General features: G+C 43.2%; 1 annotated feature.

The window, feature by feature from the left end:
• Positions 4,030-4,530: an enhancer, noted in NCBI's record as "H3K4me1 hESC enhancer chr7:35614811-35615311 (GRCh37/hg19 assembly coordinates)". NCBI's record gives its function as "activates a minimal SCP1, AML or CMV promoter by ChIP-STARR-seq in primed H9 embryonic stem cells {active_cell/tissue: H9 hESC(primed)}" and the evidence as "EXISTENCE:reporter gene assay evidence [ECO:0000049][PMID:30033119]".

Here is an 18,116-nt window from a genome sequence, read left to right as displayed (position 1 = left end):
TGGGAAGAACAGAATGTGAACCCAGGCTGTCTTGCTCCTAAATCAAATATCTTTCCTTGTCACTATTCCTTCCATGGAAAGAATATGCATATATGTGTATGTGTCCTAAATCTCTTTATTGGAAGAAGGTGAGATCTAAATATATAGGCAAATAGTAGTTAAAAAAAAATATATCCACATATATATTTTGAGTCAAGGTTTCACTGTCTTGCCCAGGCTGGAGTGCAGTGGCACAATCGTGGCTCACTGCAGCCTCGACTTCCTGGGCCCAAGCATCCACCCATCTCAGCCTCCCAAGTAGCTGGGACCCCAGGCATGTGCCACCATGCCTGACTAATGTTTTTTATTTTTGTAGAGATGGGGTCTCCCTTTGTTGCCCAGGCTGGTCTCAAACTCTTGGGCTCAAGCAGTCCTCCCACCTTGGCTTCCCAAACTGTTGGGATTATAGACATGAGCCACTGCACCCAGCCAAAAAATATTATTTCTTTTTTTTTGGGATGAAGTTTTGCTCTTGTCACCCAAGCTGGAGTGCAGCGGCATGATCTCGGTTCACTGCAACCTCCACCTCCCGGGTTCAAGCAATTCTCCTGCCTCAGCCTCCCAAGCAGCTTGGATTACAGGCACCTGCCATCACATCTGGCTAATCTTTTGTATTTTTAGTAGAGACGGGGTTTCGCCATGTTGGGAAGTCTTGTCTTGAACTCCTGACCTCAGGTGATCCACCCACCTCGGCCTCCCAAAGTGCTGAGATTACAGGTGTGAACCACCCATGCCCGGCCTTTATTTCTAATATTTGTAGTTTCTGAGTAGTTGGTTCCTGACCATGCTTTGGATTTACTCATGCTTGACTCTTTTCTTCATTCTGCCCACTTGAAACTTCTAAGGGAATCTGCTTTGAAATTAGACCAGTTCATGAAGGCTTGGGAACTATTTCACAGCAGTTAGAGGGAAGAAATGCATCCATCAGTTACATTCCATGAATGCTTTCTAGACGTTGAACTCATACCTGCAACAAGGCACCAGGCATGAGTTCAGTGAGCTAACAGCTTGGCCACATGCTTTGGCTTTTGTGAAATACTTTTCTCCTAGACTTTTCCCTGTGGGGTTAAGTGGACAATTGGAGGTCACAGGGCCTTTTGTCCAGATTTCCAGCTTCTTCTCTGAGGAGTGGGCCCATATTTCTTGTGCAGGTGCAGAAATGGCTTCTTGGTTAGGGGAAAGCTGTGTTGTTGAAACTGGTGGTGTTGGTGCTTAACAAAGAGGCATAGGTGTCATCCTGGGCTGCCGCTGGCCACTCAGGTAAGCCTCCTCCCACTAAGGTGGGGTCAAGGTTTGTAAATCTAGAAACTTCAATCTCTGGACGCACTAAAAAAGATTTGTGTACACATGTTCTCACTCATAAGTGGGAGTTGAACAATGAAGACACATGGACACACGGAGGGGAACATCACACACGAGGGCCTGTCGAGGGATAGGGGGCAAAGGGAGGGGGAGAGCATTAGGACAAATACTAATGCATGCGGGGCTGAAAACCCAGATGATGGGTTGATAGGTGCAGCAAACCACCATGGCACATGTATAACCATATAACAAACCTGCACGTTCTGCACATATATTCCAGAACTTTAAGTGAAAAAGAAAAGTTTTGTCTATTCATATACTTCAACAAATATTTACTGAGAGCCTACCACATGCCAGGCATAGCCCTAAGCACAGGGTAGAAACCGGCACAGCAAATTAATAATTTAGAGTGCAAAATATGATCTCAACAGATTAGAGTGTGTCAGTGCTGGACTCCTTTACAGCAGCAAGGACTCCTTACCCATCCCTTTCCTCCTCTTCTTCGCCGTTGTCATTCCTCTGTTTTCTCTCCAAAGGCATCAATGCATATGCAGTATGGATTTGGAAGGAGTACCCTACTCCAGATAATGTGGGTATGGTGGGCAACCAGTGTCTACCATGTGGCAAATGCCCAGTGACATAAAGAAGATTCTATTGTAAAGTCCTTAGATTTTCAATGCATACAAAAATAAGGAGTTGACTGCGTTTCAACTGCGTCCCCCTTCTCTGGTCAAAGTGACTATTCTCTCTCTCCTTTTTTTTTCTCTCTCTTTCTCATTTTCAATCTCTTTAACAATGTTTAACACTTTCTTCAAGACCTTTTCAAATCCACCTTTTCATTTCAAGTCTAAACTGGACCCAGCACCTCTCACATTGGATCACAAGTCCTGGCAAGGAAAGGGGGTCAAGGAAAGGGACACATGACCCTGAGCAAGAGAGACCCCCTGTCATTCCCTGGGCTACAGGAGCAGAGACCATTGAGCCTGTTGCTGTTGTCAAAGCGGCCTGGCTTCCTCCAGGGAGCGCCTGGTGATCATCATGGCTGGGCCCTGGCTCAGATGCACCACCTCTGGGAATTGGCTGATTTGCTCTGATATTGCTGTCTTCCACCTTTCAGCAGCATCACATGCTAGCCTGAATCTAGCAAGTGAGGACAAAATGAAATCAAGGTAACCTAGGGACCTCTATGCCAACTTCTAAAGGTATTGCTCTGAAACAGTTAGACTATGTCCCCACCCAAATCTCACCTTGAATTGTAATAATCCCCATGTGTCAAGGGCAGGGTCAGGTGGAGATAGTTGAATCATAGGAGTGGTTTCCCCCGTAGTGTTCTCGTGGTAGTTAATATGTCTCAAGAGATCTGATGTTTTATAAATGGGAGCTCCCCTGCACAAGCTCTTTTGCCTGCTGCCATGTAAGATGTGACTTTCTCCTCGTTCACCTTCAGCCATGATTGTGAGGCCTCCCCAGCCACGTGGAACTGTGAGTCAATTAAACCTCTTTCCTTTATTCCTTTACAAATTGCCCAGTCTCGGGTATGTCTTTATTAGCAGCGTGAGAACAGGCTAATACATGCTCATTGTGATTACAGGGTGAGATGGCAAAGTCAACACCATCGTTTTATTGTCCAAAGGGGCTTCTTTTCTTTTCTTTTCTTTTCTTTTGAGATGGGGTCTCGCTCTGTTACCTAGGCTGGAGTGCAGTGGTGCGATCTTGACTCACTGCAACCTCCACCTCCCTGGTTCAAGCAATTCCCCTGCCTCAGCCTCCCGAGTAGCTGGGACTACAGGCACGTACCACCATGCCCGGCTAATTCAAAGGGGCTACTTTTCTAATCTGCAAGGAGAAAAATAATGATATTTTTGAACAGACAAAGAGAGAAAATAAGAGGCACTGGCATTCTACAGTCTGTCTGTTCTTTGGCCATCCGGCAAAAAAGGGATATCTTAAATTGATCAGCAGAGCAGGGTGTCCTGGAAATGGCATGGGAATGGTAAACAGCCAGGCTGAGTCTGGACCCAGTTCTGTGGCTTGCCACCTGTGTGACTGTAGCAGGCCGCCCAGCCTCTCCAAGCTTCTCTTCCTTATCTGCAATAAAATGACTGTGACATCTTTCCTTCAGAGCTGCTGTGAGAAGGAAGGAGAGGAACGTGAACATGCCCAGCTTTGTGTCTGATACACAGTTGGTGTTCAAGTGCCAGTTTCTGTTCCCTAAACCCCGTCGGAACCCATATTTCTTCTTTCCAGACACCATGCCAGCATAGATTTAGAAAACAAAATCACTGGCTTGACTTTCTGAAAATATTTACTTTTTCCAGACTCAGCCAGGCTAACCAAGGGAGAATGTTTAGCTAAGTGGGGAGAATTCAACGCGACCCCCATTCCTGCTCAGCTGGCTCTGGAACTGCTCTTCTCTGATCACTTCTGGGGAAAATCAAAACACAGCAGCCCACAGTGCTCCCCACAACCCACGGAGGGCACCTGGCTATTTCTGGAATGAAGGACATGGAAAGTGGGACAAGTTCTGTTTTTGCAGGTGGGTGGGGGCCAGAGCTCCCTTCCCCTTGAGGCTCTGCTGTGCACCTGGAGTGTCGCTGGCCAATGCCTGAACCCCTTAGGGTGGGCTCCTGGTGTCACTGGGCCTTTCTAGGCTGCAGTGGGAGGCAGTGGCATGGTTAGAAATCACTTCCCTCATTCTCACTTTGTGGGTTTCAGGACCATCATGATGGGAGCAGTAACAATAATCCCTTATATTTGACATGACATTTTAATTTCCAGAATATGTTAGTCTGCATGGTCTTATGATCATCTTGCCAAATCCTCACAATTTCCACTGGTAGGAAAGTGTTAGTCCCATTTTACAAATAAGCAGAGTCCCAGCAGTGGGAGGTTTGCCTTAAGTGAGGTTTCACTGCAGAAGATTGCCAGTGCTCCTGGCACATTTGCATCTGAGCATGGTGGGTGAGCGAGGAGCTGGGCCCCTGACAGAGCCTGATAGACCCACATTCCCACTCAGCCCTGCTGCTCCTTGGTGTGTGCCCTGGGCAGGGTGGTTAGCTTTGCCGAGGCCCTGGCTCCTGGCTTCCTGGAGGCCAGTGCTGTGCTAAGGGGCTCTCCTTGGCAAGTCAAGGGCAGGCATGTGCAGGCCCGCAGGACAGCCATGTTTACACAATTCCCACTCCTCACCCAACACCCACCACGAGCTTCCTACAGATGTGCGGAAGTCAAGAAGAGGGGGACCTCCAAGAACCGCGACCCTGCTGACAGCTTGGCTATAGCAGGGCAGAGATGCAAGGGGGCAAGAGCCCTGGAGAGTGGGTCACAGGGCCCGCCTGTGCCTTGTTATGGGTCCTGCTAGATCTGCAGGTGGAGGGAGGACGGGAGGCCTGGACTTGGCCTCAGACCTCCAGGACCAATGGATCAATTGAGAAACAAATGGCAGGGAGCGTGTCTCAGGGGAGTGTGGCAGGGAGGCTGAGGGCAGGCAGGTGGCATCTGAGATCCCACCAGCTTCCGCCTGGCTGGAGGCTTTGGGCAGGGATAGAGTACTTCTGCTGACTCTGTGTTTCCTTCCAGACTCTGCCTTTCTCTCTGTCTCCCCTGGAAAGGAGGAATGACGATGTGATCGGTGAGACACAGCCCAGCCGAGACCTCCTCTCCCCTTTCTCTGGTGAACAGGAAGGACATATTTCTTTCAATTCTTCTAACTGGAAAGTGTTGCTTCTGCAGGGGAACCCCTGTCCAGGCCAGTCCTGCTCCTGAGTGCATCTGTTTACTTGCAAGACTCAGTATTCAGAACCCACCTACCCATGGGGGAGGCTGTGTCCTCCAGTATCAGGGGTTTGTGTGTGTGTGTGTGTGTGTTGTGGTTGTTGTTGTTGTTGTTGTTGTTTTGAGATGGAGTCTCACTCTGTCTCCCAGGCTGGAGTGCAATGGCGCAATTTCAGTTCACTGCAACCTCCACCTCCGAGTTTCAACTGATCCTCCTGCCTCAGCCTCCCAAGTAGCTGGGATTATGTATGAGCATGTGCCACCATGCTCGGCTAATTTTTGTATTTTTAGTAGAGATGGGATTTCACCAGGTTAGCCAGGCTGGTCTCAAACTCCTGACCTTAAGTGATCCACCCACCTCGGCCTCCTAAAGTGCTGGGATTATAGGTATGAGCCACCTTGTCCAGCCTCCAGTATCAGCTTTACCAGAAATAAAGCAATATTGCACCCTTTATAGGGAGTAAATTCCTTCCTTCCTTCCTTCCTTTTCTTTCTTTCTTCCTTCCTTTTCTTTCCTTCCTTCCTTCCTTCCTTCCTTCCTTCCTTCCTTCCTTCCTTCCTTCCTTCCTTCCTTCCTTCCTTTCTTTCTTTCTTTCTTTCTTTCTTTCTTTCTTTCTTTCTTTCTTGTCTTTCCTCTTTCTTTTTGAGACAGAGTCTCACTCTGTCACCCAGGCTGGAGTGTAATGGCACCATCTCGGCTCACTACAATCTCTGCCTCCTGAGTTCAAGCGATTCTCCTGCCTCAGCCTCCCAAATAGTTGGGACTACAGGTACGCACAACCACACTTAGCTAATTTTTGTATTTTTAGTAGAGACGGGGTTTCACCATGTTGGCCAGGATGGTCTCAATCTCTGGACCTCATGATCCACCTGCCTTGGCCTCCTAAACTGCTGGGATTACAGGTGTGAGCCACTGCCCCCAGCCGGTATGGTGTGTAATAAATACATGGCATATGCACTATTTTGCCGTTCTAGCATCAGAGAAAAAAGCTGGTAAGCCAAAGAACATCTGGCTTCAAAGATTTCAAGCCCTGTGTAAGAAGAAATTTTAATATTTTCTTTATGTGCCTGAATAAGTCTTCTTGCATGCACTCATTCTGGAGGCCATTGCTCTGCAGAGGTATGGCTCCAAGCATGGCTTGCACACCAGCTGCAGGTCTGTGATGGGGTGAGCATGGGCTGAAATGTAAATCACTTCTGTTGCTAGGCCAGTTCACTTGTTTCTTAGCCAGACTATCCTAAGAAAAGGATCAGCAGGTTGCTTTTCATTTCGGTGTGTGCTCCTTATCGTGGATGGGCACATTGAGAAGCACTGCTCTAAAGCTTGAGCCCCTCAAGGCCAGGAGCCTCGTCTTCATCATCTTTGCTTCCTCATTGTAACCCAGGGCTTGGAATATTACAAACACTGGACACTCTCTTCTCCACGCTTGCTGTGTGGCTTCCTGCCTAGTGATAGACTGTCCCTTGCTTTTCACTCTGCCTGCCTTTGGAACTCCACCCCTTAACCCCTGGTCACCAAGTCCTTTCTTTATGTCAGGTTTAAATGTTCCCTCCTCTGAGAGTCTCCCAGTGTCTCTTGTGCAGAAGAAATTGCTCCAAACCTCTAAGGCAGCATGTCCGTGGTTCATTTCTTATAGTGGCATTGCTTACCTCTCAGTTAGTTTATGACTCCTCTCCCCTGCCAGCTGTAAATTTCTTGCAGACAGAGACTGTGCTCTGCTTGGTGTCTTTAGGACCCAGCCTACCCTCTTTCTCATGATATGTGTTTAATAAGTATTTATCCCATAATTAATATAATGTAATACATTCATTGCTAAGTTGTCAGTGATCTCTATTGCCAGGACATACATTTCAATGTGAGATTTACAGAAATAACACTGCCTATAAGGAACCTCCCTGTCTGTACAAACCAGCATCCTTAAAATGCTGCACTAATTGGCTTAACTCTGATGTACCCTAAGCTCTACAAGTTATCTAACATATTAAACACTGAATCCAATGGGTGGCATGGGAGAAGCACTCAATAAATATTGCTGTTATCATTTTTGTTGTTGTTAATGTTACCAGGCATATACTTTTGTGCATGTTCTTTCAGACTGAGAAATGTCATTCTTTTTTTTTTTTTTTTTTTTTTTTTTTTTGAGACAGAGTCTCGCTCTGTTGCCAGGCTGGAGTGCAGTGGCGCAATCTCAGCTCACTGCAACCTCTGCTTCCCGGGTTCAAATGATTCTCCTGCCTCAGCTTCCTGAGTAGCTGGGACTACAGGTGTGTGCCACCACGCCCAACTAATTTTTGTATTTTTAGTAGAGATAGGGTCTCACCATGTTGGCCAGGATGGTCTCAATTCTTGACTTCGTGATGCACCCCCCTCGGCCTCCCAGAGTGTTGGGATTACAGGCGTGAGCCAGTGCACCTGGCCAAATGTCATTCTTCGTTGAGTGGATCAGTAATGATCCTAAGCCCTAGAATAGCAGGTTCATTGGTAAGAATTTGCTCATTCTCCAGCCTGGCTGTTTTCTAAACTATTCTTAGGCTGAATCATGTGTGATATTCCTCTGTTCCAAGACTCAGCTGGTGGCTAGCTGGGGATGGGCAGTCCTGGCACAGCTGGTGTGCCCACTGGCATGCATAGTGCATGCTTGAACACTGGCATGAAGAAAATTTTCTAAAACTCTGGGAGCAAGGGAAGAGAGGACAGACCTGAACTGTAAGCCTAAGTTCCATGGTCACTAAGCTCTTTGGTCTGGCAAATCATTTCAATTTCGCTGCAGCTATAATCTTGTGGGAAAGCAGAAGTTGGTCTTTTACTCTCACTTTTCCTTTCCTCAGGACTTCCTCTATTTCTTTACAGAGAACCTCCTACCAGGCATTCAGTGAGCCTTTCAAATGTGCTTTCAGGAAAGCAGACACCATCAGGAATTAATACTTCAGTGTGACATTGATTCTGAGAGTCTGTTCCTAAGGTGCTACTGTTGATTCTTATTATTTACAGTAGTTACATCCTTCAAAGTTGCCACAAACACTGAATTAGGGAATACTTACTCCTGGGGAAATACAGTGTGAGGGTCTCTTGAGTTTCTGGTCACAACATTTTTACCAGCTGATCAATACGTAACCTTGTTGTATGTTATGTTTCTATCTGAAGACACTTTTAAAAATATGTATTTCTTGCCAACAGGTAATTAAATGCAGTGTTTTGAATAATAAAATAATATTTTAATTATGATAATGTGATCATAAATTTCTTTGGCTTTCAGCCTCACAGCAATGCTGTCTGTCCACTACACTTTTTTGTGGTTGGTTGTCATTTCGTGAATCCACAGACGTTGTGCTTTTCAATGTTTTCCGTAGATTCAGCATGCAATGTAGATGTTACTTTAGCACTTTCCAGAGAGGACTCATACACAGTTGGGTGTGTTTCCTCTTCCTTTTCTGGATGTACTGCATTGTTGACTCATTAATATTGAATTCACGGCCAACAGTACTGTAACTCATGCCCTAATGAATCTCATCCAACACAAGTATTTTCACCTTCCTGCATTTAGGAACACTAGACAGCAGTTCAGCACCATGCAGGAGGGCCATCTCAAACAGCGAGGCCACCAACAGAAAGCACAAAAATGTGAAAAAGTGGCACTAAACAGACCATGAAAAGGATGCTCATTTATAGCATAAGAGCTGAAACAGGAAGGCAGAGGGTTGCTTTGCTCCACCTTAGCTGGGAGCACGAGCGTCTGCAACTCAAATTTTGTTGCCACTCTATGCATGTCTGTGAATGCACTTTGAAAGTGCCCAAGTTTTAGGACTTACAAATAAATTTCAGTAAGTAGTCAATTTCACAATGAGGATATACAGTACTTGCATTTTAAGCTCTCTCACTGTACAGGAAAATGTGTGTTCCCTGTAGGGAGAATTTCCAGTGAATGGGTGGGAAAAGTTTTGGGGATCAGGAGATTTTTTTCTGGACCAGGATGTTACTTCTAGGGAGGTTCACTCAAACCATGACCTCTAGCACCTGTCCCGGGACTCATGAGGGACACTTGCAGGGACTCTTGCAAACCACTCCACTGGACATGAGATCTCAACATCTTATTGGGCACTGCTCTAGCAGACTTCTCTGTTCAGGGCTTTGAAATCTCCCCCCTCACCACTTTCTTCCTAGCCCTATTCTGTAATGATTTTGAGATGGAAAAACATATGTTGCCCTCAGAGGTGGCATGAATGCTTCCAAATGAGACAAAATAATATTCATGTCTTCTGGCCTCCCAGGAGACCAGCAGAATGCTGAGACACAGTGCATGATGTGCTAGGCACTTTGCATGCGCCTTCTCATTCAGTCCTGATGGCTCAGAGGAAGCCTTCGTGATCTCATTTACAGCTGAGAACTCTGTAACTCAGCAAGGTTAGGTAAATCACCCAAGTTTGCATGGTTTTTAAGAGGGAGGATCAGGACTTGAATTTGGGATTGCTACCTCCAGTAGCCCTTAATCAAAGCAGACTAAAAGGCAGGCAGTCCCTATTTCCTCTAATCCCAAGCCGGAGTCTTGATTTTACTGCTTTGATCTAAGGAAAGTCCATGGACATGAAGGTGCACAAAACACACATGCATATGCACACACATGCCAGCGTGCCGCAGAAAGAAGCACAGAGACAGGAGTGCTCCCAGTGCCAAAAGGAGAACTGGCTTCTGCTTCTGCTCCTGCCGCAGACCTTCTCAGGCCAGAGCAGTAGTCTGACTTCAACTTGCGAGAGATGAGAATATCCAAAAGGGAAAAAAAGATGGGCTGCTCGGGTAGCCCAGAAACATTCATAATTCTGACTTCTAATAAAAAGAGAGAAAAAAGGAAAGAGCAAGAGAAGGCTGAAGGTGCTCTGAGGAAGTAGGCTCTGGGCCACCTCACTTCTGCAGACATGTGGCAGGAAGGGCCTCAAGAAGAGGAGAACTCAAAAGGGACAAATCCACATGTGCAGCGATGTTGAACTTGGTGCAGTGACTCCACCTGCCTTCCCAATTGCCAACGACGCTTTCCTGACCCGAGCACCCATTCTTTCCCTTGGAGAAGAAGAAGCTGGGATATAACGGGCTGCAGGGCGTACAGTGGAGTAAGAAGGGAAAACAGGACATAGAGTCTTTAGTTCATTGGAGGCCCAGATGCATAATACAGAATCAGGAACTTAGAACTAGGCCATAAAACTGAGTAGAAGCAGGGCTTGATGGCAGAGCACTGGCCCTGGAGGAAGGGGTTGCTGTAGACATTAGTTATATTGGTGGACACTAGTATCTTTGGAACATCTTTCTTGTGTTTGGAGAATTTTCTACACTATCCGTCTTGCCTCTTCAAGACAGAAGCTACAGCTCACTGATCCGTCCTCTTGCATCTGGGCCACAGACATATCACCCAGTCATGTCTACCCATCAGACCCAACTCTGTGAGACTCCAATTCAGAAGCAGGCAATGAGAGGAATAGGCGCTGGGTGGACTTAATTTTTTAGTAGCGGAGGTGGCAAGGGCACCATTGGTGCCTACGTGGTGTCGGCTGGATTGTGGTTTGGCTATCGCTCCAGCTGTTTCACCTCAATGTAAACTCTCTGCCTCCCTGGAAATTCTATGAGCTACTTGACATCCTTCCATGGATTTATTTTCTGTTTAAATTAGGTGGAGTGAATTCAGTGCTTTGCAACTAAGAACTGACAAGTGGAGAGTCAGGGAAGCTGCTGTCATTTCAAAATTGCTTGCTTGTTTTCACTGGTGGCAGAGCTGGAAGACAGAGAGAGACCAGACTGGTGAAATGTGGAGCCAGATGATGAAGGAAAAAGGATCAATGTCACGATGCTCAATTTGGGCAGTACCGACATTTTGGATGGAATAATTCTTTGCTGGGAGGGGCTGCCCTGTGCATTTTAGGCTGTTGAGTAGCATCCCTGGTGTCTACCCACTAGATGCCAGTAGCACCCCATCTCCAAGTTGTGACAATAAAAAATGTCTCCAAACATTGCCACATGTCCCCCATGGGGCACTGGTTGATAACCTACTTGGTCTAATCACACCAGGCAAAGTTCTCTAGTGAGAAGCTTCTAGAAGCACAATGTTGTTGACTTGTATTTGTAATTTGTGAATGTATGTATTTATGCTTAAGTTAACCTTAAATATGTTATATATAATATTATATATATATATATATATATATATATATATATATATATAATATTATATATATATATATATATATATATATATATATATATGCCATTGCATAGTGTATATTTGTGGTTTCTCAATCAAGTTGAAAGAACCACTTTAGAGGTGATAACTGAACAAGTAGACAAATTACGAGTCAGGCCTTAGCATCCTGGGCCCTGTTTGGGCATTAAATACATCAAGAACTTACATATTTAGTGCCTTCTCATGGAATAGCCACATTAACTTATTTACAAAATGGTACAGAAGAGGGACCAGCTGTTTGGGTGTATTTGTGTCCAGTGGTTCCTGGGCGTATTTCTTTAAGTGGTCCGCCTATCTTGATTCTCATCAGGAACACTGTGATTTTCTAAGTTTTAAATGGGTAGAAGAGGCCTGCAGTTAAGGTCTCCCTTTTAAGCGTGAGCACTCAATTAACTCATCTTGCATCTTTGGGAAACTCAGTTACAGCTAATAAGTGTATCGGGCTACTGCTTTAGGGTTACATATTTCCTGTCTAGATTTTTTTTTTTGACATTTTCAGATAAAAGGTTGCTTGGAAGAAGAGATTTATTGGTTTGTGTTGGCCGTCCCTTCCTTATCGCCTTGCTGCCCTGAATTGGAGCTAACTGCTGGCCAGCCACCCACAGTAGCTTCTGCTGGAGGAAGAGTCTGATCCTTCTTCCATCCCCCTATTCCTGCTTCTTCCCACATTCAGGCTTGAACTGAACATTTTCCAGAAACCAAACCAGTGCCTTTTGGGGTGTTTATCCCATGATGGCGGGAACTCATTTCCCCATGGCTATCTAATTTCCACTGTGTTATTCTTGGGGAGGCCAAAGACATAACAATTTGGAGAAACCAGAGACTGATGTGAGCACAGGGGCTAGCTGAGCATGAGCCGGAAACCCGCAGGTAGGACTGAGCGTATGAGAGGAACTCAATAGTCGCTAGTCTAGTCTTCTCCCCTCATTCTACCGTTTGACATCTCCCTCTAACAGCACTGCCTTCGGATATGCTGATATGCCCTCCAGATCTTTGTCCTGAGCTAAGAGAACTGGCACGCTTTCGGTCACACAGACAGAATTTATACATTTGGAAGCTATGATAGTCACCCCTGAAGCACCTTACTGATAGGTGTTTTCCTCTGGATTCTAGGTTCTTGACTGGCCTCTATTCTGGCTTCAGGCAATGCCCTTGTTGTCCTTGATAGGGACAAAACACTGCCATCAGGAGGGACTAAGCTGAATTGTGTTCCGCAATGTCTACCAGCTTGGAGGAAAATTCTCCTCTAGCCCAGAGAAGAGGTTCTTACGGTAAACTACGTAAAATCCAATCCTGACATTTCACTATATTAAAAAATGTGCCTTAATTATGCCTGTGCACACAATGTTTTTTAATCACAAGTCTCTATCATCTGAGAAAGACAACCCTTGAGGTTTCTCAGTCAAGAGAAAGAGAGGCAGGGAACAGATTATCCCTCAAAAACACCAGAAGACATCAACCCTGCTGACACCTTGATTTCAGGCCTCTGGTCTCCAGGACTGTGAGAGAATAAATATCTGTTGTTTTAAGTGGCAGGTTGTGGGAATCCAAATGGTTGTGGCCACCATTTGGATGGTGACCAGTTAGCCATTTGTGCTGGTTTCCTCTGGTTGCCATAACAAATTCTCTTCTTCCTCTTACCTCTGATAGATACCAATCTGTTCCTAGGAACCATTACACACACTGACACACACACATATTTAATTTTTTGAGGGGTAGGCAAGAGCTGTAAATAATTAAAAAAATTTTTTTCTGACTTGAAAAGAGATTTTGTCTACGATCCCTTTTCTATTGATCCTCCCCTCTTTGTTGTATGTACTACCTGGGAGAGTTTCTCCTTCCTGTAGCTGGCTTCTTGTGCTGGTGGAGAGTCTGCTGTCTCTGATAACAGAATGACCCCATGCTGCTGCTCACTCTGCAGGGTCAGGGTGGCCTAAGTGAATGGAAGTTTGACTGCAAATGCTGCATTCCCAGAACACCTTCCCTTGAGGCTTTTGATGTAAGGTTCACAGTCGGACCCTGTTCTCTTTGCCCATGGCATCCTTCTTTTTAGGGCATGCTTTTTTTCTGTTTGTCTGTCACACACAGACCCCTTGTTAGATATCAGTTCAGGTTGCCTCTTTCTTTCTTTGGTGTGCCACTAGGGACCTCAGATCGAATTTTGCGAATACCCTATATCCCATTCCAAACATCTGCTTCAGATTTGGCCACCATCCAGCTAGCCATTTGTATTGGTTTCCTGTGGTTACCGTAACAAGTTACCACAACCTGTGGCTTAAAACAACAGATCTTTGTTCTCTCACAGTCCTGGAGACAAGAGGTCTGAAATCAAGGTGTCAGCAGGGTTGATGTCTTCTGGAGTTTCAGAGGGAGAATATGTTCCTTGCCTCTCTCCTGGCTTCTAGTGACTCCAGGCATTCTTGGACTTGTAGCACATAACTCCAATCTCTGCCTCCATTTTCACATCTCCTTCTCTATTTGTGTTTGTGTCTTGCTTGTCACTGGATTTAGAGTTCTCCTGGATAAGCCACGATGACCTCATCTCAAGACTCCTAATTATATCTATGAAGATCCTTTATCCAAAGAATGTCACAATAGCACGTTCTTTAGGGACATATCTTTTGGGGGCTACCATTCAATTCACTATACATTTTTTTTTGCATTTTGAAGAGACAAAAATCAGAACAATTTTATTTCTGTAGCTATACATGATGATCATGGTATAGTATACTGGAATCCACTTGCATTTCCATTTGTAGATCCCATAAAACTTTGCCAACCACTTTTATATCAGGTTTCTCATCTGACTCTTGCAACAACCCTGCGAGATAGCCAGGGATGCAGCTGCCATTTTATAGATGAGGAAATGGGGCCCATGCAAGGTCGCCTGCAGCAAGTCACAGAACATACGAGCACCAGATCCTGTCCCTGGAGCAGCCCTACCAGTCCTGCTACCCGGCTGCTTTCTGCCCTTCCACATGACCTCTCATCCTTCATGGATGCTGGCTTTGAAAATACCAAAGGGAGCTACCTTCCATTGTTGTTTAGGTGCAAAGACCTTGCTCCAGCGGCGCTGATGGATCTGGGCCTGCCTGCTGGTTGGTGGGCTCCCACAGTGATGGCTGCAGACCTCTGCAGGCTGGCCGAAGCGTTAAAAGTGCAGCAGTTTCCATGAACCAGACAGAAGCAAATGGACCCTGGAGGAAAACCTTATGATTTTTGCTGTCTTAACACAGAGGCAGTGGTCATAAATTAGCATTTTAAAAATTATCAAGTGTTCCTCAGATAAAGAGGAATGTGTGCCTCTCTATTTGTAGCCTTTTCTTCTTGTTCCTCAGTAACGTTTTATAATTTCCTTTTTAAAATAATATCATGTATATTTATGAGATGTGATGTGGTGTTTTGATACATGCATACATTGTGGAGTGATTAAATCAAGCTAATTAACATGTCCATTGCTTCATATACTTATTTTTTTTGTGGCAAAAACATTTAAAATCTACTCAGTTGGCCATTTTCAAATATATAGTACATTATTATTAATTATGGTCACCATGTTGTACAGTAGATCTCCACAACTTATTCCTCTTATCTACTGAACCTTTGCACCCTTTGGCCAAGATCTCCCTGTTCTCTCCCACCATCTCAACCTATGGTAAGCATTATTTTACTTTCTGTTTCTGAGTTCGACTTTTTAAGATTTCACATGTAAGTGACATCATGCAGTACTTTTCTTTCTATGTTTGGCTTATTTCGCTTAGCATAATGTCTTCCAGGTCATACATGTTGCAAACATCAGGATTTCCTTCTTTTTTTTAAGGCTGAGTAGTATTCCATTGTGTGTGTATACCACATTTTCTTTATCAATCCATCCATTGTTGAGTACTTAGGTTGGTTCCATACCTCAGCTACTGTGAATAATGCTGCAATGAACACGGGAGTGCAGATATCTTTTTCAGGTACTGATTTCATTTCCTTTGGAAATATACCCCAAAGTGGGATTGCTAGATTATGTTGTAGTTCTATTTTTAATTTTTTGAGAAATCTCCATATAGTTTTCCAAATGGCTGTACTAAATAACATTCCCACCAACAGTGTACAAGGGTTCCCATTTCTCTGCATCTTTGCCAACACTTTTTATCTTTCGTCTTTTTGATAAAAGCCATTCTAACATATGTTAGGTGACATCTTACTGTGGTTTTAATTGGCATTATCCTGATGATTAATGATGATGAACATTTTCTTCATATTCCTGTGGGCCTTTTGTATGTCTTCTTTTGAGAAGCGTTGATTCAGATTCTTTGCCTATTTTAAAAATTGGATTACTTATTTTCTTGGTATTGAGTTTGAATTCCTTATATATTTTGAATATTAATTCCTTATCAGATGTATGGTTTGAAGATATTTTATTCCAACACATACTTTGTCTCTTTACTCTATTGATTGTTTCCTTTGCTGCACACAAGTTTGTTAGTTTAATACAATCCAATTTTTTATTTCTGCTTTAGTTGCCTGTGCTTTTGGGGTCATATACAAAAATATTTGCCAAGACCAATGTCAAGAAGCATTTTCTTTATGTTTTTTTTCTAGGAGTTTTATAGTTTCAAGTCTTATATTTAAGTTTTTATCCATTTTGAGTTGATTTTTGTATATGAGCTGAGATAAGAATCCTATTTCATTCTTCTGAATGTGAATGTCCCATTTCCCCTACACCATTTATTGAAGAGACTGCGCTTTCTCCATTGTGTGTTCTTGGCAACTTTGTCAAAGATCAGTTGACTGTAATTGTAGGGCATTTATTTCTGAGCTCTCTATTCTGCTCTTTCGGTCTATATGTCTGTTTTTGTGCCAGTACCATGCTGTTTTGATTATTATAACTTTGAAGCAGGTTTTGAAATTAGAAAGTGTGATGCCTTCAGCTTTACTCTTTTTGCTCAGAATTGCTTTGACAATTGAGGGTCTTTTGTGGTTCTACATGAATTTTAGGATGCTTTTTATTTTTGTGAAAAATGTCTCTGTATTCTCATCTATAAAATGTGATAATAAGTTGTTTCACAGGACTCTTTTAGAATTAAATGACTTGGTATATGCAAAGCAAATAATTCCTGGCACACTGTAAGTGTGATCTAAATGTGTGCTATTTGTACCAAAATGATTATGTTTCATTCTCCTTTGATGTATTGCTCTCATAAGTTATATCAATAATTTCCTGTTGCTGGACTATTCTCACATTTCTAGAATAAATCCTACTTGTTTATTGCATATGATTTGTTTGATATAGTGCTTAGGGTATGAATACTGAAAGAAATACTAACTAGGTGTAAAGGATGGTGATCATTCCATCATCTTCCATACCAAGGGTATGAAGGTTTGATTTTTAAGTTTGCTTCGGCTCATCAGAGAATTGACTCAGTCTCTGCAACAGTCTTGGCCTTTCCTTCACAGTTGGAAGATGGCTGCAGCAGCTGACTGTAAGAATCATTTCCTGTGAAACTATGTCCAAAACAGCCATAAATGAGATAGACATAAGAAGGGCTTTTCCCACATCTCTGTTAGAGAGCACTATCTGTCTTTCAGATTCCAAACACACTTTCTTCTCATGTCTCACTTGTCAGAACTGGTTCTACTTGTGCCCTGAGCTGCAAGTGAGGCATGGAAAGAGGGAATCTGGCATTTTCACCTGCTAGTGTGAGAAGTGAACTCTGTGAGTAGGAAAAGGAACAGGCATGGATGTTGGGGAGGAAAGAAAGGGCACCTACCACAATGCACATTTTATTTAGGATTTCTGAATTATAAGTGAAAATGGATGTTGGTTTTCTTTATGCACTATTGTTTTCTTTTTCATTAGGGATATGTTCATATCGTTAAAATGTATTGGGGATATTTTCCCTATTTTTCCTGTCTTGAAATGATTTGCCTAAGATTACCTTTGAGCCATTGCCTATCAGAGCAGGCATTTCTGTTGCTTTTGCACATGAAAAGAAATTGGCCAGATATAAACTGTTTGGATCTCAAAAAGTTTGCCTCAAATGTTGTATACACTGCTTAATTATTTTTGAACATCGAGTACTAGATATATTTATTCTTTGTATTTAAAGGTTTTTAGGGTATGTATAAGGAGGGTCTATTTTTCATTAATTTTGCTGGAAAATTAAAATAAAAATTCTTACAAGATGCATAGTAGTGTCTTCAGTTTAGACATACTTTTATTAGAATATGTGTCATCATTTTAGTTTTATTTGTATTTCTTTTTAAGAAATATGTATATATTAGCTTTTTGTTTTCTATGCTTCATATCACTTATATTTTCTCAATTTTTCTCATGCATTTGTATCTTTTTCTTTTTGATATCCAACTAATTTGTTTTCTCCATCACTGATTCAATTTGCTACAAATCCATTCTTCTATTTGCTGCCTCTCATGTGGATTTAAACTTGGGTATTACATTTTTTCCCCTTTCCATTTTTCTTATCTTATCTGGTTCTCTTTTCATCTTATCCATGTTTCATTTGCAGTCCAGGGAAGCCTGTGAACCACTTATTAGAATAATACTTCTAAATGCATAATATAAACTAATAGACTTTCCAAGGAAACAAATAAAATGGAAATCTATTTAGCAAAATATTTTAAAACTATTGTGATACGGAAATATAGGTTCTTTTTCCTACATATATTAAATAAAAATATCTTGCAGCAATTCTAGTAACTACTATATCTGCAAGTAATGAGCTGTATAAATGATTCTTAGCAATATCCTCCACTTGCAAATATTTTCTCCCG

Source organism: Homo sapiens, chromosome 7 (genome assembly GCF_000001405.40).
Source record: "Homo sapiens chromosome 7, GRCh38.p14 Primary Assembly".
Taxonomy (NCBI): Eukaryota; Metazoa; Chordata; class Mammalia; order Primates; family Hominidae; genus Homo; species Homo sapiens.
The sequence above is the reverse complement of the archived record's forward strand: the minus strand, read 5'-3'. Positions and strand labels throughout refer to the sequence as shown.